The sequence below is a fragment of the Homo sapiens genome, chromosome 9 (genome assembly GCF_000001405.40).
Source record: "Homo sapiens chromosome 9, GRCh38.p14 Primary Assembly".
In the NCBI taxonomy this organism is placed as follows: Eukaryota; Metazoa; Chordata; class Mammalia; order Primates; family Hominidae; genus Homo; species Homo sapiens.
Window position 1 is genome coordinate 4140773 of NC_000009.12, and position 26826 is coordinate 4167598.

Sequence of the window (26826 nt, forward strand, 5' to 3'; positions counted from 1 at the left end):
GGCCAAGAGTAGACACTGTTTGAATTTATCTTTTTTTTTTTTTGAGACGGAGTTTTGCTCTTATTGCCCAGATTGGAGTGCAGTGGCACAATCTCAGCTCACTGCAACCTCCGCCTCCTGGGTTCAAGCGATTCTCCTGCCTCAGCCTCCTGAGTAGCTGGGATTATCGGCGCGTGCCACCACGCTCAGCTAATTTTTTGTATTTTTAGTAGAGACGGGGTTTCATCATGTTGGACAGGCTGGTCTCGAACTCCTCACCTCAGGTGATCCACCCTCCTCGTCCTCCCAAAGTTCAGAGATTATAGGTGTGAGCCACCGTGCCTGGCCAAATTCATCCTCTCTCACAGTCTTGTGTAGAAATCTAAATTCACTGAGATTATTCCAGGTGCTCTGAAGGTGGCAGAGCCTTCTGAAAGAGGATAGTGCCTCTAGGAGGGAGACAGAAGGAGAGAGAGAGGTGGGATTGCCCAAAGTCTGGGAAGAACAACAGTTTGATGGTCCCTGAGTAGCAAGACAGCTCCCAAGGAAGGCAGTGGGGGTAAAAGGTATGGCTGCCTGGCCAAAATACAAAGGCCAGACCTTCGGGCCTGGGCTCCCAGCTCCAGCAAAACCTCCTGTGTCCAAGCAATGCACAGAGCAGCAGACTCCTAGAGGCTATGTGGGGCTTGGTCAAAGGGCATCTCAGCAGTAACCTGAAGAACCAAGAACACAGAAAAGCTCCTGGAATGTTCTGCTCTCTACAAACACCCTGGGATTCTGTGTCACCTTGGTAGTGTATCAGGCCACCCCAACTAGCAATAACTGAGATTAAATTTCCCACTAATGAGTAAGATGGAATCTTGGCATCTGATTTGTTGTGATTTAAAGGAAATAATTTAAACAACCATTTCTTGTATACATAAATTGGTAGAATAAGTCATACTACAGATTTGCTGAAAATTGGAGAGGTAGGAAGGCTGAAATATCTACCTTTTGGCTCAGAAAATTTGTCATTGTATAAAATCACATAACTTTAACTAAAATACCAAAATATAAAAATACAATTTTAACATCACAAATCTCAACACACAGGCAATCTGGCTGAGGCCTACATAATGTAATTCCCTTCTGTTTCTTTTATTTAATGCTATTTTTTAACTTATAAGAGAACTAGAGTAATGTAAGCATTTCTGTAAACATGATTGGAACATGAGTTAGTATCGAAGTAAATGTGACTTTCATCTCTGCACCTTGTAGATGCGAATCCAGACACGGTACCAGCAATAACTCCCAACTAATCATATCTGAAATTAGGTCAAAAAATGAGGAAGAACAGAGTAGGTGCTCACTTACAACCCAAATTCTTTCCCATCAAAATGAAAAAGCAACCATAATACATATTGATGCCAGTATGAAAAAATCTAAATTAAGAGTTGTGCTTATGTTCTCCCTAAAATAATACTATTTTAAAAGTAGCAGTATTTATCTGAATTTGAATGCTAAAGCTGAGAATAAACATGAAGAAAAAGTTAAATGTTAATCAAGTTGATAGCTTATTCCCTGAATAATATACAAAGTCTTAGAAGAGAGTAAATAACACATAATAAACAACATAAGATTCTATGGTTTTCAATGTTAATGAGAAGGAGAGAAACAAAATCCTTTCCTAATTATCAAAGAGTCAATTAAGTAGAGGCCTTAGCTTGGGGGTTAGAGTGCCTCCTCATTCAACTGTTCCAGGTGAATCAAATTATAAACTCTGCCAGGATGTGGTCTCCTGTGTTCTAAACATTCTGTAGCAAAACAAAAATAACAAAACTACAGGCAGAAATCTCACTTTGATCTTCTTATACAATGAGTGGAATACAAACCTTGAAACAAATCCAGTTTGAAATAAAATATTATAATAAATCCCCAAAAGTCATCGGGTAATATTAGCACCTTACAATGGGCAGAAAAATTATGAAGAGATCTCCAAAGTATTTCCAATAAGGAAGACTGTTAGACATTAATCTCAACAAGCTCATACTAACTCCAAATTCTCAAAATGGAATCAATACAATTTCCTTCCAAACCTAACCCATCTAAGTGTATGAAATTTTCACACTTAAGGATATGCATGTTTCAGAGAAATTTTGAGAAATCAAATTATGTTTTAAGGCTGAAAGATCAGTGAGGAAATAAATCACTTTGGCCAAATTTCACAGGTATCCGCTTCCCTTTCTTCTCTCTTATAGCTGTTGGGTACTAGTTAGCCAAACCTACTCTCTGACATACTCACCTTGCAAAATATCCAGAAAAAAAGAATAAAGATATGTGTCTTTTTTCAGCTTTTACTGGAGCATAAATGACAAGCAGAAACTGTGTAAATGTAAGATGTATAATGTGATGATTTGACATACGTACACACTGTGAAACAATTACCACAATCCATAGTTAACATACCCATAACCTTACATGGTTACCTTTGCATGTGCGCACGTGTGTATTTGTGTGTGTGTGTGTGTAGTGAGAAGTTAAGATCTACTCTCTTGGCCGGGCACAGTGGCTCACACCTGTAATCCCAGCACTTTGGGAGGCTGAGGCGGGCAGATCACCCGAGGTCAGGAGTTCGAGACCAGCCTGTCCAACATGATGAAACCCTGTCTCTACTAAAAATACAAAAATTAGCCGGGCATGGTGGTGGGTGCCTGTAATCCCAGCTACTCAGGAGGCTGAGGCAGGAGAATTGCTTGAACCCAGGAGGTGGGGGTTGCAGTGAGCCGAGATTGCACCACTGCACTCCAGCCTGGGCGACAGAGCAAGACTGTCTCAAAAAAAAAAATAAAAACAAAAAAAAACTACTCTCTTAATAAATTTCAGGTAAACAATACAGTATTGTCAACTATGGTCACCACATTGTGCATGAGCAATCTCCAGAACTTATTCGTCTTGCATACACTGAAACTTCGTACTCTTTGACCAATATCTCCCATTTTCCCCACCTCCCAACCCCTGACAACCACTATTCTACCCTCTGCTGCTATGAGTTCCAGCATTTTGGATTCCACACCTAAGTGAGATCAGCCAGTATTTGTCTTTCTGTAGCATCTTTTGTCTTTTTCTATCAAGCACACTGAACTATCTATGGCGAAACCATCTAAATGTTTGAAAGAGATTTTCCACCATCTTCAGAATTCTAGGATCAAGCCAGTGAGAAAGAAAAGAGAATAGACGACGTCTCCCTTCCTGTTTAAACATAGTGAGCACCTTAGTATGGAAAGATTTTCCCATTATCTTCTTTCAAAAATGTGTCAGCATGGTTTGGGGGAGGGTGGGACGACAGGGCAAGTGGGAGAGCTGTTATTGGACCTCAGGGGAGAAGGCAAGGGAACAAAGATCGAGAAACCTTGCTCCATAAATGCTGTCCTGTCATCTGACACCACAGCGCAAGGAATGCTACTAACACCTCCGTCCAAAGGAGGAAAGAATAGAGTCCGAAAGAGATCTGAAAAGAAGGCGGATAATTCAGCTCAACCGACTTGTTTTTTGACACGTAGCCTTGAAAAGAACAATTTTACCTCAGAAACTTGGCAAATACAAAGTGATATTTTTTGATAGGTTATAACATGCATTTTACTAAATGCATGAAGAGAGGGCGAGGGAAAAAAAGGCCAGGTATCTGAAGACAGGAAAGTTGTCAGGTTTCTCGTTTCTGTGTCATTTTTGTTTAGTCGGTCAAATGAAAATTCAAAACCATATAATTAGATGGTTGTTTATACATGATTAAGCATGAGCTCATTGGACTCTACATGCCAAAAAGTCAGAGATGTGGTTAAGGGCAAGAAGGAACTATTAATAAAAGGAAATAAAGCTGTAATACATTTTTCACTTATGAATAAAAATAACTCAAAGGTCTCTAGATGGAAAAAGAGAAACAAAATCAACCATGAGTAGGGGCAAGAAACCAGATAATTTTATAAATGGTTAGAATTCAATAAAACATAAGCCACTGGTATGAAAAGGCTTTTTTTCCTCCTCCATGATTCTAATCCTATTTTTTGCTTCTCGTAAACATAACTCACAATGAGAACATAACAAAACTTACCTGTATTATATTTCTTTAGAACTGTTCTGGGAAATATTTAAGCAAGAACATGCTGTTTATTTACAAGAGTTACTTGTTCTTCATAACTGTCTTCACCAGTAATCCTCTCCGGAAAAACCAATAGCTGTCAGCTCCCTTGGAAAAGGCAGTGTCCTTTTGTTTTTAACAACTGCAGAATTTTCTTCCCATAGCGAAGTGAGCCCATTGAAAGCAAGGCTTAACTGACCATAACCTTCATAAAGGTAAGGCAGATGCTCCCAGATCCCCCACAGGATCTGTGATTTTAGACTTGGGCTCTGAAAACTGGTGAATCAACTGCTCATAGACCAAACACCACACTATGGATGAGGTCAGTGGGCAAGTCTTTGGGATGGCAGAGAAAATAAACTGATCCAGGATCAGCCTACTTACTCCTTGTTAGGTAAGGTTTTTAAGCCAATACTACAACGTCCCACTACTGGGAAAATACATCAATACAGGGTACCTCTGGAGAACACGCTGGTAAATGAAAAACTACACCCAAAGGTGGTTCAATTGTGTGTGTTATTTTCTATAAGCAAACATATCTTTAGGTTGCCAAGGCTAGTACCTTTTGCACACAACTGCTGTGATACATATAGTACAACCAATTGATTGGAACAACATGATCTAAAACCAAAAATGACCAAAGCCCACAGGATATCGCAACACACAGTTCTTAAGAATGAGGCTAAAATGAATCTAATAACATTCAAAAAGCCCATAATGCCTAAGAGGCATGAACACCGACTTTTACAGCCCGACTCTGAGAGCAGTCTCCAAGTCACATCAGTGCCCTCTGTCAGAGGGACCTAACATCTCAAACTTCCCTCTCTTTCCTCTCCCTTCCTCCCCTTCTCTTCCTGCCAGCTTCCCTCCTCCCTTTGTTCCCCCTCCCTCCCTCACTTTCTCCCTTTCTCTCCCTCTCTCTCCTTTAGTATCAGCCAGTTCTGACTCCCAGAGAGAGTAATCTTCTCTGGGAAGTGCATACCCGCTCAGTAGAATTTAAACAATATACTTCATTTAAGCCTGTATGATAAACTACAAAATATAGAAATTCCTAAAAAGGTCATTTCCAAGAAACTAACATGACAAAAAAGTACAAATCTGAAAAGGCATGGACAATTGAGACAAAGCACAACATTCATAACTAATTTGGCAATTTTAACCTATAAAACCTATATATTATCTACATGTCTTACATGAGATAGGTACTTTGTTCTAAAGATACTTTTTAATTATTGACCTGATTTTGTCAAATTCAGTTCTTAACATATTCATTTAGTGCAAGAAGCTACCCAAAGCTGGGAGGAAAGTGCACTTTCATGAAACAAAGTCTTTATGCACCAGAACTTTATGGATTTGTGTCTTTAATGTTGAAGGAAGGGGGGACACCTTACTAACTTAATAAATATCGATTATTTGAAACCGTTGAATATCTACTATAGTTCTAGATAAGAAATTTGATAATTTATTCCTAAACAATGTGTGGCATGTAACTCAAAACTATTTTTCATCAATAATTAGTATTAATAATTAACAAGGGTAAACAACAAAAATACCTTTTGGAAATATTTCAACTTGGCCCTTTCCTCATTCCACAGGCTGCCTATTGCCAGTCTTTACCCTCAATTTAGGGTTAATGACTAAACTGTCCTCATCTCTGACATGCAACACTACTCAGCAGCAATCTTCCCAAGTATGTGCTCACAAATACATAAGATTGAAAAGAATAAAAGTCTTATCAAAGTCACTGGAATCTGGCGAACTGATTTTTAAATTAGCAACTGCAGTTACGATCCACTCAGCAGTGAATTAGATTTTTCAGCAGTAGGGACAGAACCCTGAATAAACTTCATCTCAAACGCCTATTCTCCATCCTAAATATGCAATTTATGTCTTTAATGCAAGAATTAGCCTACTAATAAAAATTAAACAGTTCTCTAGATAAACACAGCAAAGAGGAAGGATGCTACAAGAGCTATTCATTTAAAACAGGCCAGAACCAATGTACTGGATTTTATTTGACACTCATTCTGAAGAGTATTACGTTCGACTTTTAAAAACTATCTTGCTATTATTTCTCAATTTGATTGTCCCAAAGCATCTTTAGAGTCAAATGCACTAGATCTTATACCAAATTAAAGGCATTTCACCGTATGCCTCTAATTTTCTAGCCACCCTGACCTAGCACCTGACATTTAGAAATTTAAGCCCACTGCAATTAATCTCCTCTGGCCATTCATTTCTTCCCCAAATTGAACATTATGCAGGCAATATCCTAAGAAGTTCTGAAAGTTCAACGTCATACTATATTTTAATTTCTTACAGCAAATACAAATTCTAAAATTCCTAGTCCTCTTCCTTCACGTACCTCCATTCTATTATTGGAATTTCAATAATGGAATTTCAATTTGGAATTTCTTAACAAATTTCTTACCATTATTCTTCCTGAAAAATGATCAAAATCATCAGCAAAAGCATCTCATGCTTAAATTATTCATGTTCTCAGGCTGTTTGGCCACTGACATTTTAAAGTGTTAGAAGTAAGAAGTCCTTGCACTGCGGGGCTTCCATATGCAGTGTCTGCTTGTGTACCTGTGTGGGTATAGATTGTTTATATCTTGCCCTTGGCTGGGGGCCTCAGACAGCTGTGCAGAGTACTTGGCATACATTTCCAGGGCTACTTGCTCTTTGGTTTTATAAAATGCAGGCAGCAGGAACATTCAGGAACTGCCAGGACATTCAGCAAAGGCTGGAGTGCAGAGAGGAAAGCATCTGACAAATGCAGAGTAAGAAACAATGACTCCCTTCAAGGGGAACTGCTGGTGAAGTCAGCCAGCGCTGGCCAGCGCGAACAATACTTGGGCAGGTCATTAACTTGCCTGGGTCAGAGCAGGTGGGTGAACTCACCCACCCACCTTTCTGGAAGCAAAGTTTCACTTGCTGAGTTCATACCAAAAAAAAAAAAAAAATTATAACATTCTAATGGCTAAACTAGGGATGTGTCTGAAAATAGCTAACTCTGCAAACCCTGCAGAAGACATCCAGGGAATTCACAAAGGTAAGTCAACTTACTGTCGGCTGTTTCATTTTGCACACATCTCTATAATAGCTACGTATGTATTATGTTGAAAATAAGCAAACACATTAGCAAACCAGGATTTTTTGAAGTGAGGTGGTTACCACTGTATTATGTTTCTCCCTCTCCTTTTTTTTCTTTTGCATAGGAAAGAGTAAGTTACTGGTTAACTACACAAAGGAGTTAACATTTAACTTGAACACCAGGAATGCTTGAGCTCTTAATCCCTCCCCCCTTTTTCTTATTATAGCAAAAATAGCTTCAGGAAAACTCTTACTAATTATTGCTGATTCTAGATGAGATCTGGCTACATCGGTTTCCTTGCTACACTCACAGGAGTTTGATTTCAGCCTGAATTCACCACTATGGTTCTTTCAGACATACTCCACTCCAGGCAGCCTGAAATCCCTGGTCACCACATCCCCACGTCCCCATACTCTCCATATTTCCATCCTCAAAGATCAGCTCAAATGCTACCTCCTCCTTGAAAGAAACCTTCCATATTCCTTCCTCCAATGCCAGGTTTACAGTGCTCTATTCCTCCTCTAAACTCCCACATAGTTATTCATTTGTCTTTTGTGCTGTGGATCAATTCTACCTCATGTATCTATATCTCACCTTTCCCCCTAAACTGGCAGGCCCATGAGGACAGGGACTGTACCTAATCCACCTGGACCCCTACCCATCACCCCAGAATATTAGGCCTCAGCTTCCTAATGCCTATGAACAGGTAATGCCCACACCATACCTGTAGCAAGTTTTAGTAAAGAACTTCTTTGCACAGGTAGGTGGAGAGAGGGCTACAAGGAGGGTGGGATTGTATAATTTAAAATAAGGGGAAAAATAAAAATAAAATAAACAGAGAAATTGCTGAGAAGCCTGGAGTGGGGGTAACGTGGCCAGAGCTGCCACTTTGTTGTCCTGGCCATTCCTAACCCATTCTCCTCTCTCCTCCACAGGCTGACTCCACACCTCACTGCACACAAAGCTCGTCCCTATCAACAGAACCTTTTCCAAACTGTTTGACTTCTCACCTTTCCCATGAAGCCCTCCGTGGAAACAAGATTATAACAAACCTCTGTCTCCTCTCCAAATACTCCAAAGGAGGTGCAGAGTTTACCTAGCTATCAACATGGTGATCATGCTTCCTCACCAAGAACTTGTACTATTACAGCTGCTACTACTACTGCTACTAAGAATAATAATGATAGTGATTCATCTATACATTAAAAATGAAGTGAAAGTTAAAGTAAGCTTAATGGAAGGCTTACTTGGTGCCAGAGGAGGATGCCTAGCTCTATTCCCAGATTAACTCATTTAGCTCCCACAACAACCTTGATTATTACCATCCCATTTCACAGGGGAGGAAAACTAAGGCTTGAAGACCATATTAACCTGCTAAGAGTGAGTATTCAAACCCCAGCTAGCCCAACTCAAAAAACACACACAGATGGCTATGAGTTCATTCATATTCCCTTAACCATCACCTCCCACATAACTGGACAAATACTCCTAGATGGAGAGAACACAGGACAATTGTCATTCTTCTCCCAAAGCTGGAACTCACACTCACGCGGAGCCTCCAACCTCTTGGTTTCCATATATAAGCAATAGTCAGGCATGACACCTTAATTTATTCTGTGTAGGTACCATAAATGGTGTCAGGCATGCAAGTACAAATAGATGACACTAGTCTAACCTTTAAAGCAGTGGTTAAGTGTCTATTACATAACCCCTTTTACTTTCAGGAATTTTTGATGCATAACATGAAATTCATTTGTTATCTCACTCATTCAGGAGTTAAAAACTGCATGGTAGGAGCAGGTGAAACAGAGATCAAGAGAATCACAGCACAAAATAATGTCTGGTAAAATAAGGTAGGATAAAAAAGCTACTGAGACACAGAGAAGGAGATGACGATGATGATAATGATGGTGATATTTAGAAACAAGATATGAAGTATCTTATCTGCACTTGCATATATCTTACTACAAAAGGGATTTACTAACTTTTTATTCACGAAGAGTCTTGAATGCGCACAGTTCATACGGATATATGTTAGGAATATAAGAACATAATGCACGTGCGGGTGCACGCATGCACACATAAACACACACACACAGATGAGCACAAAGATAATTTCACAGTGAATCTGGTACAATAAAAGGTAAAGAAGAGCTTCCCCAGAGAAGCAACCTCCCATACAGACCCAAAGCTTTTATAGGGCCCCTTTCTACTAGAAACCAACCTACCTTAAAAACAACAAAAATAAAGCTGAAAGGGGGTCTTTTCTAAAATTCTGCCTCAGTAGCCCAAACTTTGATCTTACACAACTGGACTGACCTAAAAGCAGAGTCCAACCAGCCACTGACTGTCCTCTGCTTTTACTAACCAATAAAAATATTCACATAAGGAGGAGGAAAACGTAAATTTGTAGGTAGATGGGGCCAGCCATATGGAGGCAAGAGGAATCTATGCCAGGGCAAAGTCGCAGGCCAGGAGGCCAAGTTCAGTCTGTGGCAAGCTCAGCCAAATCACCACATTCAGCCTGGTAAGATCACATACCATCTAGCACACAGCCTGGCACAAACCAAATGCTCAGAAAATATCGATTCCTCTTCCCATCTGCAAATCACATCAGAAAACCTTTACTCTCTCATATCTTAAAAGACTATCTTTAAACCAGAATAGATGATGAAACAATTTCAAGGGTTTCCCTCATAAGAAAAAGATGTATCTCTGCCCCCACCATGCTTTGAATTCATAGATTTAGATGCCAAGAAGGAAGATTAGAAATCATGTGTCCAACCTCCTTATTTTATAAATTGTAAAATTCAAGTCCAGAGATGTAAAGTGACTTTCACCCGGTCACACAGCTAGTTAATGGCAGCATCAGGACAAAAATCCAAGTACTTGGGCACCCAACTAAACCCACTTTCTAATGTATCCTACTACTTTTTTGGGGCTGTCAGTTATAAATGGTGCTTAATGATGCAAATACCTCTGAGGCAGTTAAAAATGTCTTTTGCCTTCAAAATAGAGTGAAGATGGCAGATGATCGACTCCTACACAATGAGCATTGGGTTGGGGACAGGAGCGTCCATGAAGAGATGAAGAGCTGAAGGAAAAAAAGGGGTAAGCACAGAGGAGGAGATCAGGATGAAAAGCGACATAGAGATGCCTACTTAACAACTGTGCCTAGAGATCGACTCTGTTTCAGTCCACAGGTTGAATCTGAAAACGCCACCAGAGACTTCTCTCTTCCAAGTGTCTTTGAGCCTAGAAGATACAAAAGCCTGCATTCTCCCAGATCAGACAAAATGTATGACTCTTCAGGAGAAAAAAGAAATCAGATTGTTACATTTTTAAAAAGAGGTTCAGTTTGAGTTTGCCTCTATCTCCTCAAACTATATGTTTTAGCAGAAACACAGCTAAACCACAGGTTTTATTAGAACTAGTGCCTGCTTATTCATCCACCAAATGTAAATCTGCCACTGAACCAACATTCAGACTGCTCAGGGAGAGCAAGCACCTTGCTTAGAAAGGGGGAAAGTCTAATTTAAGCATATGGAACTTGACAGCATAATTTTTTTAAAGATTCTCTTCTCAAAGAAAGTTTACAAGCAGTAAGTGGGGCTCTAAGGCTATTATTTCTTGGCAAAATAACTGCAGAACAATTGTCCAGTTCACAGTTTTGCACTGAGGGGATTTCTTTGGATTGTGGCCTTTCTTCATCTTTGTTCTAAGGAAAAAATCTGCCTTCAGGAGTCCTAAACAATGAAAGCGCTCTTCATTATGTCTATGAGTTTGGATAGAGTCCTGTGGCACAGAGACCATGCCTGGTAATGAAGCATAATAATCATCTGTTCCTAGTTAAACATACTCATACCTTCCACAGCAGGAGAGAACCTTTGGAAGGCGACAGAATGAAGGGCATTTGAGGTTGAGACCCTCAGTCCTCCTTGGGCTCAACTCTTACCCAAAGGACTCTCATAAAAAAGAATGAGAAGACATAAAAACATCACGTAAAATTCAATGTTATTCAACAAATATTTATGGGATCTCCAGTTTGCACAGGTCTTGTATGAAAAAACCAGAACCTCAAACCCTCCCAGTCTCATATCTCACCTAGACAACAAACAAGTAACACAATATTTTTCTACGGCCATTCAAACCTCTATTAGTTGCCACTTCAGCAGCTGATGAAAACTCTGCTTCCTCCAACACCCTTCAACCATAAAGGATGTGTGAGCCTCAGGAAGGAACCAAAGGAAGAACTTTCTAGAAATCAGAAGTGACTGGGAACCTTTGTGAGGCAGGGTTCTTGTTCCTGGAAGAATACACGACGGGGTTGCCAGGATATTGCAGAGAATGTAGGAGGAGGGGAATGGAAGAGAAAAATCCCTAAGGACATTCCCAACTCTATAACATCTCAAAGGCTTTAAACACAATAACAAGGTTTACATTTTAATGTAGATTATGAGGATTTTCACAGCCTTCATCCAAAGGCTATTGTTTGGGCTACTTTCCATTCTAGGAGCCTACACAAATTATGTGACATGAAGCAGAGTATTTAACTTCTCTAGGCCTCAGATTTATCACCACTAAAATGCAGGTGAGTAATTAAATAATCTCTCAAATCCTTTCCAACCCATTTTCTGAGTAAACGTGGTGTTCACTCTCTCCTTTTCACAAAGTTAAATTTCAGAAATTCTTTCTACCTATAAAATTCAACAGAATCCACTAAAAATTGTTATAAACGAAAATTCAATAAGGTGACAAGACGCAATGTAAATTTTACAAAAGCAATAGGTTTCTTATATACCATCAATTATAAGTTTTAAAATATAATGAAAAAAAGAATTAAAAATTCTTAAGAATGGCATGTAATATGAAGAAAACTACCTGTTTCTGAAGACCTAAATAAACATAGATATGTAAATGTTTCTGGAGGAGAAAGCAACATATAATAAGTATGTTCATTCTTCCTAACTTTCTTATAGGTTGAATGCAGTGCTTCTTAGCCTCTGCATTACTGGCATTTTGTGTTCCATAGTTTTTTGTTGCAAGAGCAGGAGTGCTCTGTGCATTGTAGGATGCTGAGCAGCATCTCTAGCCTCTTACCCACTAGATGCCAGTAGCACCCCTCGTGGTGACAACCAAAATTAAACTCTGTCTAGACATTGCCAAATGTCCCCAAGGAGCAATATCATGCAGAGAGAAAACCACTGAATTAATGCAAAGTCCTAATGGGCCTTTCCTTATTCACTACCTTGACAATGAATTCTAACTTGGAAGAATAAAATAGTACTAATAATCAAAAATATGAAAATAAAAATTGTGGGCTGTGCATGGTGGCTCACACCTGTAATCCCAGCACTTTGGGAGGCTGAGGCGGGCAGATCATTTGAGGTCAGGAGTTCAAGACCAGCCTGGTCAACATGTTGAAACCCTGTCTCCACTAAAAATACAAAAATTAGCCAGGTGTGCTTGTGCACTCCTGTAATACCAGCTACTTAGGAGGCTGAGGAAGGAGAATCACTTCAGCCCAGGAGGCAGAGGTTGCAGTGAGCTGAGATCACACCACTACACTCCAGCCTGGGCAACACAGTGAGACTCTGTCTCAAAATATATATATATTGTGGAACACAGAAGGAAGACTAATTAAACTAAATAAAGAAAGAGAACAGAAGTATAAAATCATGACCTCAAATATATAGTAAAGTTTGCATATTATTGCTTTACAAATGAGTGGATGAAAAGAGATCAATAAATGGTAGTGGGTCAACAGTTTATTATAGTTTGGAAAGAAAAATCAAAGTTAAATGCTTATTCACATGACTTGTATACATGTTCTGATTATCTACTGCTACATAGCAAACCACTCAACAACTTAGCATCCTTAAAACAACAATTTATTATTATCTCTTGTGGTTCTAGGGGTTGACTGGGCCCATCAGGATGCTTCTCATTTGGGGTCTCTCATGCACTGCAGTCACATGTCACCTAGGACAGCAGTCATCTGAAGGGTGGGCTGGATGGACATCTAAGTGGCACACTCCCGTGCTGCCAGGTGATGCTGGCTATCAGCTAGGAGCTACGCTGAGGCTGTCAATAAGAACACCAACACATGGCCTCTGCACATGACTTGAGCTTCCCACAGCATGGTGGCTGGTTTCCGAGAGGCAGAAAGAGGGGGCTTTCAGGCCATTTAGAAACATGCCTCCAACAGATGTAGCATCACTTCTACTGTATGTAATTGGCCCAAACAGTCTTGGAACCCATGCAAATTCAAGGGGGTAGAGAAATAGACTCCATCTCTTGACATAAGAGTGGGAGCGTCACATCACAAAAGAGAATATAGAATGGGAGCTATGGTTTTAGTCATCATTGGAAAAGACAATCAGCCATAATATGCCACAAGAAATTCCAGGGAAATAAAGAGATAAATATTAAAATAAAATGTAAAACAACTAAAAGAAAATGTATTTGAATTTTTTACTTCATTTTAGGATGCAGAAGGCAAAGATAAACAGATATAACTACAAAAATATTTTAGCTCAAAAAGCACCACAAACAAAATGAAAAAGCAAACAAAAGACCAGGAAACATATTAACATTCTATATCACAAAGAGTTAAAGACTTACATAAACAGTCCTTGCGAATCAATGATAAACATTCATGTAGGGGGAAAAACAAAGGGCCTAACCAATTCACAAAATAATCTAGTAGATAAGACATAAAATGAACACAATATTCTGCCAGTAGATTGAGTTGAGAGTGTAATATGTTATATAAACCTTTGGGGAAGCAACTTGGTAACACAGTCAGAGGTATTTAAAATGTTCATCTGACCAAATAATCTACCCTATGGACATATTTAGACATTTAGACCATCATTTTTAAAGATATTTGGTACAACGTAAGTTCAGTAAAAAAGAAAGCAAACTTGACTAAACAAATTATAGTACACTTTCCGTATACATAAAAAATGTCTGCTGCACTTAAAAATTATATTTTCAAAGAATACTGAACTACATGGGGAGTTTGTAACACAATGTGGAAAAAGAGACCATGAAACTTTATTTAGAATAAGGCACAAGACACATGCATGTATTTGCTTACTAAAATATTAACAAATGATATCTGCATCTACAAAGTACTTGTAGATAAGTTTCTTTTATTCTTTTTTCGGTATTTAAAAAATGTTCTGCAATAAACATACATAATTTTTCTACACTGAAAAAATAATGCTCTGAAGAAAAAAATACTAGTGTTAATGTGTAAAACACTAAAAAGGTCACGTTACTGGATCACTGCCAAAAGATTTTTAAAAAGCAAGTTAAAAAGCAAGAGAATAAGCATGATTGTGCAGCAAATGACATCAGCAGTGGATTACACCTGGAACCACTGACCCATTACATGGCGCATTTTGTCCATAATCAAGTAACTTTCCCAAGCTCGTGACCTGGCCGTGGCGTAGATTCTTAGGCAGTTGTGCGGTGTGACTGCTTTCTAAACTTTTCTCTTACCCTTTTCAATATTTAGCGTATTTGTTTTCTTTGCTGAACTCAAAACGTTTGTGCCTTCATAGGCCTTTTAAATGATGAAATATTTAGCAATAATTTGCACTCACACATAGGACATTAGTCACCGGTTATCTTTTAACCAAAAGCCCTCCTGAATTTCAGAGAGTCCGAGCCAGGTACAGTGTCTACTTCTCCTTCAAATGGAGAACCCATAAGTCGAGCAACTCCCCAGGCCCACAGTTCTCCACTTAAGTGTGCATCAGAATTTCACGGACGGCTGTACAAGCATAGATTGCTAGGCCCATCCCAGAGTTTCTGATTCAATGGGTGTACGGTGGGACCTGAGATTTTGCATTTCTAACAAGTTCCTGGGTGATGCTGATACTGATGCTGCAGGTCCTCAGGCCCCTCTGCTGTGGGAACCACTGCTCAAGATCATAGGAACACCTAAGCATCTTCCCACTACATGCTACTGCTATTCATTTATCCCCTATTATTCACATTAACAATATATTATTTGGTATCTGTTAACAAATTTAATCATCCATAACCCAAATAAATCCCTGAACTCCTCATACCAGTTTCAGGTGGAGAAGTACATTCAAACCCCAAGTCCAGCAATGGATTAAAAAAAAAAATCACCTCTTGTGTGGCCATTCCTCTTGATTGACAACTCTTATACCCTTGAGCAGCCCTGAAGCCTTCCTTCACTCTTCCATTCTCTCACATGACAAAACAAACTCTCCTCACATTCACATAGAAATAAGGTTATTCCCTCCCTTCTTCCTCCATTATCTTAATTCTTTAATGCAGTCTCTGCCCTTTCCTACACGAATTTCTCTACTTCCTTTCCTCTCCTTCCCTTACCGATTAGCTGATTAAACCTCAGGAGAGAAGCACTAAATCACACAAGTTTTTGTCCCTGTACACTTCATACATTCATCCTCCTTATCCACCCAATACACACTTAGCAGGTGCCAGCTGTATAACAATTCCTGTGTTAAGTATTACAGACAGAATGTGGAAACAAAGGTGGGATCATCTAGAGGTAAGTAGGGCACAGAGATGCTTCAAGGACAAAGTGTATTTGGTCTGAATGGTGAATTCAGGTCTAAATTTTATATTTCCCAAAACCCTTCAACCCACTGGAAGATAAAATATCTTCTTCAGAGTTTCATTCCTTTGGTTTCACCCCATTAAAATTTACATATCCTTGTGAAGGGTAGCCCTTTAAGGGTCATTATGCTTAAGCGTCAGTAAGTTTCATGCCCTTATCTGATGAGGAGGACCCTGGATATGCTGAAGAACAGAAACAACCCTTAAGGAACAAAAGGGTATATGATAAGAGTGTCTCTGAAAAAAAAATGCCCTCTCCCAGCTTAGCTTGCAGTGGTTCTCAAAGTGTGGTACCTGGACCAACAGCATCAGCATCATCCTGGAGCTTGTCAGAAATGCAAAGTTTCTGTCCTCACTCCATATCTACCGAATCAGAAACCTGGGGGTAGGGTCAACCCATTGGCATTTTCAACACTTACATTTGAAAAGCACGGCTCTAACATCTGTCACAGTCCCTGTAACGCTTCCATTAACATATATGATTACTACAGGTCCTAATAATTTGTCAAACTCCTTCATTAGTGTATGAATATTATTTTCAGAAAGGTGCGTGCGGTAATTATAAGCTATTTGTTATGAGCTAGGCTCTGCAGCAATGGGGTAGAGGTAGGTGCCTGTGGCTAAGAATAAGGAGACACCAGGTGAAAGGAAGATGGCCATTGATAAAGGTCAACATTAACAGTTTTGTTAGGGTTAGTCATCTGCCTCCCAAATTGGTGTGACTTACAGTGAACACCAAAGCAGGACTGATTTTGCCTGCTTCTGAAAATTCTCCGAGCTCTCAACAGGGCACGATTTTGCATGTAGTTGAAAAAGGCCCACATGAATCCCTGTTGCACAATGAAATGTTCATCTCATGTTATTTAGCATCCTTGGTCTCTCTTTGGGGTGGGGAGCAGAGAGGAAGGAGGAAGATGCATATTTTTAGTACCAGGGAACGATCTATCATTCAATGAAAGAGCATACATAGAGGCTTAAATCAAGTATGTGGAAATAATATGTTATTATTACTAGGCCTAACTCTGCTAAATTATAACCTATAAACCCTCAGTGCTTGACTTAAATATTCAATCCACATTTGCAGGAAATCTAAATGGTTATTTCCTCCTTTAGTGCATGCATTACAGGAGGATTTACGAGTGCTTCCACAAAGCACATATGAGGAGCATGTTATCCAAGATGTCAGTGTAACCAGGCACAATTGATAAGCACACAGTCCACATCACGTATGCATTCTGGGAGCCTTTATGTGCAGTTAATTAGTTTAGCTATTGCTTTCATGGTTCATTTAGAAACTTCATGCTTCATTAAATATCAATAAATTTTATCCTCAAAAAACCTTTTCAGTAAAAATATGATTGTCTCTTCAACTGATAATCTTGTTAACGGATGTATATATTGCAAGCATGCCTGTCAGGACCGACAAAACTCTGAATTGCCATGGTTGCAGCACCCTGAAGTAACATGCAAATTTTATTCTGTAGTTTAACACACATGCCTCATCCACACATATTTTCTTACAGTAGAGGGGAAAAAATCTTTTTTTTCCTTTCCAAAACGATGCCTCTTTTAAGCTGCTATTTTTATTCTGTCGAGAATTCCTTCTTATGTTTCATAAGCTCCTTTCTCCATTACATCAATTCTGAGTTTCTCTTTATTGGAAAGACGAGCTTTTAGCAACTTTCTGTAGCATGAAAGAGACGTTTTCAGTAAACACATGTTTGCCATATCCCTGATACATGTGTCCAAAGAGGGCAGAGGTCACAGTTACTGGGCTGTTACTGTCCCCTCTGTCACGGAATTATCTGGGCTGTTCACTGAATACCACGATGAAGTGGGTCAGGCAGGAAGGGTCGAGATTAAGAAAGAAGAGCTTCATTTACCTAAGCAGAAGTAGTGCCTTCAGCTATACTGTCTCCTGTCTTCCAGATCCAGCTCACATGTCTTTTAAGATGTCCCCGATATGCTGAGATACAGAAGTTGTCAGACTTTTCCTCATTTTCCTATAGCACTTTGTTAAGGTTTTCACTACTAAATGTATTATAATATATGATAGCATTCATTCATTTGTCCATCCATTAATTCAATAAAAACATATTAACCAAGGATACAATGGTAAATAAGACAAGTAACATTCCCCCATTTTCATAAAGTGCACATTGTAGTGGTGAGAGAATATACAATAATATGAGTGAATGAATAAGTGAACACGATAATTTCAAATAAGCGTAAGTGCCATCAAAGACATAAAATAGATGAGATGGGAGGCTACTCTGAACTGAGTGGCAGAAAAGGCCTATGGAAGAGGTAGCTCATAAGCTGGGATGCAAATAGTGAGAAGAAACCAGCCATGTAACAATACGGGGGCGGAGTCCCGGGCAGAAAAAAATGGCTAGTACAAAGACCTGAAGGCTGAACCAGCTTGGTATGCTAGAGAAAGGAGAAGAAGAAAAAAAAAAAAAAAAGCCAGGCTAGCTGCAATGTACTCGGCAAGGGAGAATGTGGTACCAGATAAATTTGCAGATGGCTCACCAGTCTCAACTTTAGACTATAAGCTCCTTGAGAACAGGGCCTGTATATTACTTGAATTTGCATCACTAGTCCCCATCCCATATATGATTCTCATGGTTAACAAATGCGGGTTGAATGAATCAGATGAACCATCTCCAGGGTCATATGTGAAACACTGGAGAGTTTTCTCGCATTTTGTACAATCTCTGCCTTGTCTTGGCCCTTTCTTTCAATACGGATGATCATGTTCTACCCTTTCTATGCAAAGTTAATAGACCATAGGCTCTCAATGCTGGAGAAGGTACTTATAGTTATTTTTCCATAAGAGATAATAAATCTGTGGCCAGGCGCAGTGGCTCATGTCTGTAATCCCAGCACTTTAGGAGCCCGAGGCAGGTGGATCACTTGAGGTGAGGAGTTTGAGACCAGCCTGGCCAACACGGTGAAACCCCGTCTCTACTAAAAATACAAAAATTAACTGGGCATGGTGGCACATGCCTGTAATTCCAGCTACTGGGGAGGCTGAGGCAGGGAAATTGCTTGAATCCGGGAGGCAGAGGTTGCAGTGAGCCGAGATCGCACCAGTGCACTCCAGCCTGGGTGAAGAAGTGAGACTCCATTTCAAAAGAAAAAAAAAAGAAAGAAAAGAAAAGAAAAGAGATAATAAATCTGTGCTTGGGGGTTGGCCCACATAGTTCCACAGATCTCTCTTGTGACCAACAATGAAATACATTCAGGAGAGAAGAGCCAGGAGTTAAGACGGCAAGCCAATAGGGTTTCCAAAGTAACTCAGAAGAGCTCAGACTCATGTCCTCAGACTTGTTTATTTATACAGTATTTCAACTCAGCCAGTAAGAGACAACCAAGAATGAATGTTAGTATTAATATCATCATTGTGATCATCATCACCATTATTATCTCTTTGAACACAAAATAATGCAAACGAACTTTTCCAGTGAACTTTATTATCATAAAGGATGAGGAGACAGAGGAAAAGGAGATAGCCTGCTAGAAATACTTTCCACTCCACAAAATATTTTCAGTCCTTCCGAAATTGGTCTATTTTGCCTCCGCTATTTCTTCCTCATTACAGGCATAGTAGGTGAGAGACAATTTTTAAATAATGGATGAACGAATACCTGGTTTCATTTCTTCAGAATAACCTCCAGTGGTGCTAAGGAACTGACCACGCTGGCACTGACAGGCTTCAAGACCACCATAAATCCGCAATGCCAAGTGTGACTGCACTGGATATGTGTGGGAAATAGGAACTCGCCGGGTTTATGCAAACCAGTAAAAATTCCAAAAGGATCTGATGCCAGGAAAATGCCTTATTTTGTCAGAAAGTACATCTCCCGCACAGCGGCAGGCCTGGCATAGCTTGAACCACATATTAAAAACAAAGCAAAGTGACATGCGATACAGGCCTTACTGCCTGATGACAGAATTCACGAGCTGTCTTCACTCTGAGCTTTTCTGGAACCAAATGAGTCCACGTTAACCCAAGCTTGTTTGACAGTTTTGTCTTATCATGTGATTTTCTTCAAAGTCCTTGTATTTTAGGTAAGACTTACTTTTCTTATTACAATTTCAATATTTATCCCAGATTACAAATAATAATGTAATTCTAACGAACTCTGTACTTTCCAACCTATTCTATAGCCAAGTTAGGGTTTCAGATATATTCTTTTTTAACTTCTGGAGGCATGTAGATGACTTCAAAAGAATATTTAAATCAGCTGGTAAACCAGGTAGTCACCTGTCTCAATACTCATTGTGTGTGCAACACCTCCATATCCGTATTGGTAATCACTGCAGTCTAGAGGATACTGCTTTTATGAAAGTCAAATTTTAAAAAGTAATGTTGGCTGGGAGTGGTGGTTCATGCCTATAATCCCAGCACTTAAGAAGGCTAAGGTGGAAGGATTGCTTCAAACCAGGAGTTCGAAATCAGCCTGGGAAATGTAGTGAGACCCCATCTCTTAAAAAAAAAAAAAAAAGAAAGAAAGAAAGAAAAGAAAAGAAAAAATTTTGTTAATTATTCAGGCATGTTGGTAGTCCCGGCTACTCAGGAGACAGAGGCAGGAAGATTGCTTAAGCCCAGGAGACCAAGGCTGCAGTGAGCCATGATCGTGCTACTGCACTCCAGCCTGGGAGACAAAGCGAGACCCTGTCTCAAAATAAATAAACAAATAAGAATCTTAAAAATTTAAATAAAAAATAATATTAGCCTCAAATTTTAATCAATTAGAAAATTTCTGTTTTAGCATTTCCACAACACCTGCTCTGATCATGGACAATAAGAATAAAAAGAATGTTTATACACATGGGGAAGAGGAGCCCCATGACAAATAAAGGGTTTCAAAAACACCCCTTCGTGGATGCATTGGACTTTCTTTTCCCCTTTAGTCAGTGTCTACTTGTCTCTCTCCAACTCGTCCAGCCCCAGTTATTATGGTAAGAAGCAGATACTTCACTTGCTGTATTAGTTTTCTAGGGCTGCCGTAACAAAAGTACAACAAACTGAATGGCTTGAAACAACAGGATTTTCTTCTCTCCAAGTTCTGGATGCTAGAAGTCTTTTTTTTTTTTTTTTTTTTGAGACAGAGTTTCGCTCTGTCGCCCAAGCTGGAGTACAGTGGCGCAATTCTCGGCTCACTGTAGCCTCTGCCTCCCAGGTTCCAAGCAATCCTCCCCACTCAGCCTCTCAAGTAGCTGGGATTACAGGTGCATGTCACACCCAGCTAATTTTTGTTTTTTTTTTTTTTCAGTAGAGATGGGGGTTTCACCATGTTGGTCAGGCTGGTCTCAAACTACTGACCTCAAGTGATCCACCTGCCTCGGCCTCCCAAAGTGGTGGGATTACAGGCGTGAGCCACTGCACCCAGGCTGAGGCTAGAATTCTGAAATCAAGGTGTTGGCAGGGCCAGGCTCTCTCTGTAGCCTCTAGGAGAGGATCCTTCCTTGCCCCTTCCCAGCTTCTGGTGGTTGCCAGCAACACTGACCATCCCTCAGTTTATAGATATGTGATCTCCCATCACCTCCTCTGTCGTCATGTGGTGCTCTCCCTGTATGTCTTCTGTGTTCACCCTGCATTCTTGTCTCTGTGTCCAAATTTCCTTCTTTTTTTAAGAACATCAATTACTGGATTAGATCCCACTCTAATCCGGTATGACCTCATTTTTTTAACTTGATTACATCTACAAAAGCTCTATCTCCAGAAAAACAAAAGTCACATTCTGAGGTTCCAGGTGGGCATTAATTTGGGGGGATATCTTTCAAGCAAGTGTGATTCTCAGCCAGTATCCTTTCAATTGTCACTTGGTCCAAGGAATCTGAAGAACATTTGCAGACAAAATAATTACCCAAGCAAGAACAATGGAAGGAAGGTGATATAATTCAATGAATAAGTCTATCAGGAAAACCTGTTAGAAGCTTGACCGTTTCAGAATGGAAGATTCTCATCTATAAGATCAATCACTGGCCGGGTGCGGTGGCTCACGCCTGTAATCCCAGCACTTTGGGAGGCCGAGGTGGGCAGATCACGAGGTCAGATCGAGACCATCCTGGCTAACACGGTGAAATCCCATCTCTATTAAAAAATACAAAAAATAAGCTGGGCATAGTGGCACACACCTGTAATCCCAGCTAGTCAGGAGGCTGAGGCAGAAGAATGGCCTGAACTCTGGAGGCGGAGCTTGCAGTGAGCCAAGATTTCACCACTGCACTCCAGCCCGGGCGACAGAGTCTCGCTCTGTCAAAAAAAAAAAAAAAAAAAAAAAAAAATCAATCGCCAACAGATCCATCCATGCAAAAATACCTACACAGCCACCTCTTCAAGAAAATGTTCTTTTTAACTGAACTAATCTCTTCTCTGGACCCAGCTCCCTAAGTAGGGTACTTTCTACCCTCTCATCATCCACATGAGGATGGAGAGGGGAAGTAGCAACAATGCCTGGGCATCATGCTAGGGACTCTACACATGTTATACATCACCTCCACTAGAAAATAAAGAAACTCAAGTTCAAAGAGATAAAGCAATCAGCTCTAAAGTCATACAGGAGAGTTAGGGTTTGAACACAGATCTGCCTGGGTCCATAGCTGCTGCCTCATTTTTTATGTCTCAGCATGTGCACGCATGTGCACTGGCACACACACACACACACACACACACGCGCACGCGCGCACACATACCATTTCTCAAACATGCCCATTTAATTTACCTATGTCTGAAATTCATCATTTTCACAATCCATGGAATATTAAGAGCTGGAGGATACCTCATTTAACATAACAATTTCATTTTACAGATGAACAAGAAATGATAAGCAAGTGATTTGTCCAAGATCATGGGAATAATTTGTGACCAAACTGAGACGAAGTCCTCACACTTTCTGGCTTCTAGTCCAGCCTGGCCACATGTAGCCTCTCAAGTGGTATTTCTACCCAGGCAGTAAGACCACATTTCACAGGCAGGACAGCATGGCAGTTTGGAGTGTGAACACTGAAATTAGACTGCAAAGATTCACATTCTAGGCCCATTGCTTATATATGCGGGCCAGTCATTGAGTAGCTACACTTCAGTATTCTGAAATATTAAATGGAGGTAATAAAAGCATCAGCCACATAGTATTTAGTATCTCACAGGATTCTTGAGAAAATTAGGTATGCTCAGAATTGTGCTTAGTGTACAGTAAGTGCTCAGTATGTTAGTTGGTGGTGGTGGTTTTGTTGTGCTTATTACACTATTATTACTGTTAATAATAATAACAACATATAATGAAAAGGCTACAAATGAGTAAGGCCAGTGCTTTTCATCACCATGCATTTCTAGCAGCCACACTGGCTATAAGCCCTCATTCATGGATACCATGGTACAGTGATTTCCTGGTCCTTCATAAGAATTAACTTTAACCTTATTTCATAATCTACTTTATTCTCATCCAATTGTCACGTCTTCCTCTAAACACAAAATATGCAAAGGTCTATATGCTGGTTTTAATTTCCCGGATGTTATGAGTCCACATTTAACTGCCTCCTTCAAATGACAGTGGGTCATTTAGTGTCCTTAAAAGCCAACAATGTTATTACATCCTGACTCTGACAAATCCTTGCTCTTTTCTCTCTCAGCTTATCTCTGTCTCAGGAAGGCAAACCCTGGGAAAATTATACAAACAGCCCCAAATATTTGAAATCAGCATTGTCCTCCCATGCTTATGCCTCTCTGAAAGCTTAGAGGACTTTGCTTTCAGTTTGATTCTTTCATTAGCCCAAGGCTTGCTAATTAATTGGAATTTTCCAGAGCTTTTGTTGTTGTGATAAAGAGGAACAATGCAAAAGCTCATTTCTTCATGTTAAAGAGGGTCCATCCACCCTCCAGAGAGTAGCACGGAGACGACAGGGATAAGAGGTAGGATTAACTCGACTGTGAAAGGGTCAGACTTTCTGAGTTCCTGCTCCCCTCACTTCTCCCCACAGCTGCCTTCATCTTCACCAAAACTGATTTATGGGAAGTGACATCTTAACCATGGCTTTTATCCCTCCAAAGGAAAGGCTGCTTAGAGGGCGTTATGTATGATCTAAAATTAGATGGCAAAGAACATCCCATGAGCATGCAACAAACAATATTGGAAAGCAAAAGATATTGTATAAAGTGAGAGGCTTACTGAAGAATGAAAATGAATAGATCAGGGAGGAAGGCAGTAAAACTCAGATGAACACTCCCAAGCAAAGCAAAGACCAGACTTAAAAGAAACAAAAAGATGCTTAATCTTGACAAAAATAGCACTGTTTAAACCAAAGATAGCAGAGCAGCTGGAGTCTAGGGGAAGTGAAGGGAAGTGAAGAGAGATTGATTCTGAATTTTGTTCTTGGTTTCCTTTTTAAGGTATCATGCTTTGCTTTGGTACACTGGGTTACTGGGACTTGTGGAAACCCATGTAGGCTGTGTTTCATCCACACTGTGAGAGGCTCTAACATACTTTGAGGGTCCACAGATGCAGGAGAACAGAGGCTGGAGGGGCCCTGAAACATGGCAAATAGACCATTCCCAACATCATTCCTGGCCGAGCACGATGGCTCACACCTGTAATCCCAGCACTTTGGGAGGCTGAGATGGGCAGATCACCTAAGGTCAGGAGTTCGAGACCAGCCTGGCCAACATGGTGAAACCCCATCTCTCCTAAAAATACAAAAATTAGCCGGGCGTGGTGGCACATGCCTGTAATCCCAGTTACTCGGGAGGCTGAGGCAGGAGAACCGCTTGAGCCCAGGAGGCGGAGGTTGCAGTGAGCCGAGACCATGCCATTGCACTCCAGCCTAGGCAACAGGAGCGAAACTCCGTCTCAAAGACAAAACAAAACAAAAAACCTACATTCTTTTCCATGGGGGGAAAAAGATTTTCTAAGTTATTTGTTTACAGATAAATGCTTATGAAAAATAGTTTCTACTATCCAGACCCATACAGTCTGACATAAAGCTACACTCCGAGTTTCACTGCAGCAGAATCAGGAAGGCTTCCAGAATTCCTGCTCCGGGCTGATGCCTGATGGGCGTCACTCCAGTCACCTAAGATGCCACGTGGTTTTGAACAAGTTGAGTATGATGTGCCTATGCAGATATCCAGATAGAACTACAAATATACAGTTGGAAAGGAGAGCCTAGAAATGGGGCTAGAACAAGTTTCTGGGGATAACAATAAGATAGTCTTCAATTGGGTGAGATTGCTCAGGCATCATGCATACAGGGGATGAAGAACAGGGACAAGGATAGAACTCTGGGAATCTCCAATGTTTGGGGAGGCAGGAAAAAAGGAATCTGCAAACAAGGGAGAGAAAGTACTACTGTGCTTGCAGACAGGGGAGTAGGAGGGAGCTGGGTGGAAGGGGAACAGAGCACAATATTTAACAGGACAGGTTCTGAGGCGAGAGACCAGGTGCCTTCAAAGCCTGGGCTACTGCTTATTAGACTTGGAACCTCAGGCAAAGCATGGAACTTCTCTGCACCTCAATTACTCCCTCTGGCAAATGCAGAAAACAATGGCACATCACATAATTGTTCTGAGGGAAAGTACTTGACACAGTGTCGGGCTCATATTAAGCATCCAAAAACTGTTAGCTATAATCAATACGTTTATTAAGAGGCAAATAGGAATTGAAGAGATCTATAGGGTTGATGGTGACTAGGAGCAACTCAGATCCTTTCCCAGGATACACTTTGATACAGTGAAGGGTGGAAAGGAAAGCTGCAGCCCAGGAGACACTGGCCAAGAACCAGTAAGGACAAGAAAAACCACAGAACAAGGCAGATGGGGGCCTCGAGCTAATCTTTACTATAAAAAGAGGCACATGATATTTGATCACTTAAGACGTGATGGGAAGAATAAATCAAAAAAATAACCATTCTTACAGCAAAGGGCAGAGTGAAAGAGAACTGCACTAATGATATAAGTTCAAGTGCTGGCCTGAGTACTAACCAACTGGCCAACCTTGGAAAGGCCCCTTCTCCTTCCAGGAGTTCAGTTTTATGTATTCCCAAGTGGCCACTAACGTCCCTTCCAGTTGGCACTATTTATGATTTTCGGTGTTCTATAATTTCACTTAAGGATTCCGTGGCTACACATAAAAGCAGTTACTCTGATGAAGGCATAAGTGAACAGAGGGTCTTCAGTCTCATGTGTTCTCAGCATGAAACAGAGGACTCAAGAATCACCTAAGGGTAATTAAGAGGGCAGATGGTAAGATGTAGAGACAGCCAAGTCTTCCTCCTCTTTCCTCTTCCATTTGCTGCAAAACCAGAGATGAGAGGAAGGAAGGGGATAAAAGCAACTAAACCAAGGTTAAAAACAAAAAGTCACGTGTGTTCCTGTTTGCGAACAACTCCAAAAATCTCTTTGAGTGTGAGGGTCAGGAGAAGGTGGATATAAGAAAGACAGACGAACAAAACATTGACGCAAGTGGAGAATCAGAAGTAAAATCAGTTCATTTGGATCCGAAGGGATAAAGATCATGCCTAATTAATCCCAAACCCTCATTGTACCATTGACAGAAATGACATCCAAAGAGGATAAGGGAGTTGCCCAAGAGCAAAGCTGCAACAGGAGCTCCTGTTTGCTGACTCAGTCCAGTACAGATTCCATAGAAGTATGTATTTCGTTGGTCAAATTCCAAATTATGGCAATTCCTGCTAAGAGATCCTGTGTGGGAGGTAACTGAGTGAAATTGCTAAATTCTTGGGAATTTTTTTTTATTTCCCCATGTTCATGAAAGGCTCAGAGGACAAACAGGAAAGAAAAATAAATATATTAAGCCACTACTATGTGCCAGATTTTCTGCTAAGTGATTTCACATATATCCTCACATAAGCCTGCCACTCTGTGAGTCTAGCAGGCTCTGAGCCACTTGAAGAGAGGACAGTGTCTTACCCATCAGTACATTCTCCATGCCTGACAGAGTGCTGGTACACAACAGGTGCCCAATATATGCTTGCTGAATGAATGTAAGAT

The 26826-nt window shown here is 40.3% G+C and overlaps 1 protein-coding gene across 20 annotated transcripts in view; it reads right to left on the reverse strand.

Moving 5' to 3' along the window:
- Positions 1-26826, reverse strand: part of GLIS3 (GLIS family zinc finger 3) — a 666339-nt gene that overhangs the window by 316646 nt on the left and 322867 nt on the right. Inside the window, exon 1 of one of the 20 annotated variants that reach the window (XM_011517766.3) lies at positions 11342-12531. The exons of 17 other annotated variants lie outside the window; for them this stretch is intronic. The gene's annotated coding sequence lies outside the window, so the exon portion shown is untranslated. Of the gene's footprint in view, positions 1-4066; positions 12532-26826 lie in introns of those variants that run through there. 2 more of the 20 variants (XM_017014361.2, NM_152629.4) reach the window with 2 other exon arrangements.